Consider the following 3,417-nt stretch of genomic DNA (forward strand, 5'->3'; position numbering starts at 1 on the left):
AACCAGAAAAACTCCCTACCAGGGAATGCTCTATTAATCCATTCTGACAAAAGAGAGTTCCACAGACTTCCATACTGTCTTTCCAGCGTTTGCCATAGAACTTTCTTTTCCTTGAGTATCAGAACACCTTTTTTTCCTAATGATGTTAAACTGAGAAAAGTATGGAGAATCTTAGTGGAACTAAATTTTGATAAAAACCACAGTCTGTTTGGAAGGCTTGAAATTGAGTAAGTGGCAGTCACACCGTTGTGGTTCAAATCTGAACTCAGCCACAATGTAAACTTCTTTGGGAAGGTTTTTGCTATTGTTTTCTGAAAAATAACCAAAGGGGTCTGGGCAACAGCTGCAGAACTGGGCTCTGGGCAAACACACACAAATGACAACTTAGAACGTCCACAGTCGAAGATTTCAAGATTGATTTTATTTACTTGCATTTTACAAAAAAAAAAAAAAAGTGGGGGAGGAATGCTTCATTCACAACAGAGAGACTTAAAAAATAAAATAAAATAAAAACTATAATTGCTCTGGGGACTGAAGTTAAAACGCAGGTGTTTTGAGGGGAACATAAACATTTTTTCCTAAATGAGGCGTTGAGGGCTGGGAGAAGGGCAGTAAAATTAGTGGAATTACTGCCTGATTTTAACCAGATGATTGCTGCAGTTGGACACCAGCGAGTTTTCATTAGGGACTCTAATTTACAAGCCATTCAACACATTCCAGTGGAACACAACAACTCCCCCAGGTCCTAAAGAATGCCAGCTCTCCCATTTATGGCAGAGATGCTGAACCGCAAGGCTCTTAAAGGCCAGCATGACTACGGAATGGAGCCCAAGCTCTGTGAACTAGAGATGATCACATTGTCTCCCCAAATGAGATCGTCCCAGGGAACCAACTTCTGACACACACTTCACCCTCCGTTTATACACATATGGTCTCTCAGTGTTGTGCTAGCAGAAATGGTATGTCAGGAGATGTTTATGGGATGTTCAAGGAATGTTATTTGTTTGCACGTAACAGAGTGGCTTCCAATTTGCAGCTGTAACATAATATCTAGCCTTGTTTGCTTCAACACTTATGATTGCTGGTTATGCAAGCACATTTGATAAATAATTTTTCAATTTTACACAGGATTTGCATTCCTGTTTGGAGTCAGGATTTCCATGGTCTACACCTCATGTGTTGCATGTAGACGTTCAAGGTATTTTTATTGTGATATGTCAGCACACAGAATTGGAAGGCATGTCACAAGGTCAGGAGTTCGAGTTCTGTTGATAGTCTCAGACCTCTTCCAACTTCAACAAGGTCAACAAGGTGAGAAATTGTATGTAATCATCCCAAATCAAGCTCATTTCCTAAGGATTAAAACATGTGTCTCAGTGGAACATCAAGAACATCATTATGTACCCTAGAAAACAGACCAGGCAGGCCTAGAGCAGTTTAGATCTAGAATACACAGGAATAGAAGTCTGGCATTTATAAAGCATTAGAAGTACCAATCTGCACAAAATTAACACAACGATAACTGGAGGAGTTGACAGAAGTCACACAGGTAAATAATGTGGAGTCACAAAATCTCTACAACTATACAAAGTGGGCTCCATTTTGCTGGGCTGTGATCTAGTTGCTAAGCACTGGTTAGACATGGCATGACATTAGGAAAAGTTGCCACCGTCCATTTATGAAGTCATATTTTGCATGTGGTATCTAAAAAAAAATTAGCCCCTTTGGTGTCCTGCAGATATTATGCAAATGTATTCTATCTTTTCGTGATGACTGGTGGAAGGTGATAAATTCTGTGATCTAGAGAACAATTGATGCTTATGTTTGTTTAGATTTTAGCTGCACGGGATTCTACATTGCAGTTGAAAATTAATTAAAGGCTGTTTTCCACACCCACCAAATAATTCTTTGGTAATTGGCCAAAAACCATAGTAAACAACCAATTGAGAATCTTTCTGGGGTACCAAAACCTCAGAGCCTTATTTTTTAAAACCTTTATATGGCTATCCAGTTTCCAAAAGAAATTAAAATGTAATAAATAGCTAGATAGGCCATTTAAAAATAGTCACTTTCTATAATTCATGGCTGAGAATGATTTGTTTTTTGTTTTATGTGATGTTGGGGTGAAAGAGGAAGTTAAAGTTTTCCATTTTTTGGTTTCTCCCATTCTGTACTGAAGCCAAATAGTTTCTTTTCTAATCACATAAAAGTAATCATTCACTATCTTTTATAAATTTTTCTAAACCTGACTTCTAACTCATAGGCAAAGAATTAGTCTATTGTGATTTTCATATTTCCTCATAAAATTATTGATGAATTTTAGTGAAAAATATAAATTTTAGAAAGTGAATTTTGGGACTATCATTCACCTGCTACAGATGACAAATACCATTAACTTAAGAAAATTATCAGATGTCCACTAAACTCTGAAAACAATTGAATGGTCTGGCAGCTGAAGTTATTTTTAGGCACGAAGAAAAGTCCTAGGATAGTCTATGGGATAGTTTTTAATCATATTTCTAGAAAGATATTTAAAATACTTGCTAAGACTTTATCCCTTATGGTTTTCACTGATGCATCTTTGCATTTTGTTCAGCTAAAATTTAAATCCGTGAAGATCAATACAAAAAAGGAAATTTCAGCTGGGTGTGCTGGCTCACGCTTGTAATCTCAGCAGTTTGGGAGGCCGAGGCAGGTGGGTCACCTGAGGTCGGGAGTTCAAGACCAGCCTGACCAACATGGAGAAATCTTGTTTCTACTAAAAATACAAAATTAGCCGGGCATGGTGGCCCATGCATGTAATCCCAGCTACTCGGGAGGCTGAGGCAGGAGAATTGTTTGAACCTGGGAGCCAGAGGTTGCAGTGAGCCGAGATTGAGCCATTGCACTCCAGCAGCCTGGGCAACAAGAACGAAACCCCGTCTCAAAAAAAAAAAAAAAGAAAGAAAGAAAGAAAAGAAAATTTCAAGAGCTTTTAAACAATAGTTATTATTTTATTTGTCATTTTAACAATTGCATTTTTGGATTAGTCAACCAGGCTTTTAAGAAGTCTGTAATTTTACATTTCAATATAACTATATTAAAAGTTGTCCAGGCAGTGACTTCTACCACTTTGGTATTTATGTTGCTAGATTTGGAAACTGTTGCTTTCATAGAATATATGCTGTTCTGTAAATGTTTTTCTTCTTTTAACAATATATTAAAAGCACTTCCTTGTGAAAGATTCTGAACCAAGATTGCTAATAGCTTTAAAGCTATTTCATTATATATATAAATCCCATGATATCCTGTTGAACTTTGGTTTTGGATTTTCACTATTATGGAAATAATACTTGTCACTTGCCATGTCATGGGAAAAATACATTGTAACAGATATTTTACATTTAGTCTTTGTTTATACTTCCGATTATTTCCTCA

The 3,417-nt window shown here is 36.8% G+C and overlaps 1 annotated feature.

The window, feature by feature from the left end:
* Window positions 433-934: an enhancer, noted in NCBI's record as "NANOG hESC enhancer chr15:96427328-96427829 (GRCh37/hg19 assembly coordinates)". NCBI's record gives its function as "activates a minimal SCP1, AML or CMV promoter by ChIP-STARR-seq in naive H9 embryonic stem cells {active_cell/tissue: H9 hESC(naive)}" and the evidence as "EXISTENCE:reporter gene assay evidence [ECO:0000049][PMID:30033119]".

This window comes from Homo sapiens, chromosome 15 (genome assembly GCF_000001405.40).
Source record: "Homo sapiens chromosome 15, GRCh38.p14 Primary Assembly".
NCBI classification, from domain to species: Eukaryota; Metazoa; Chordata; class Mammalia; order Primates; family Hominidae; genus Homo; species Homo sapiens.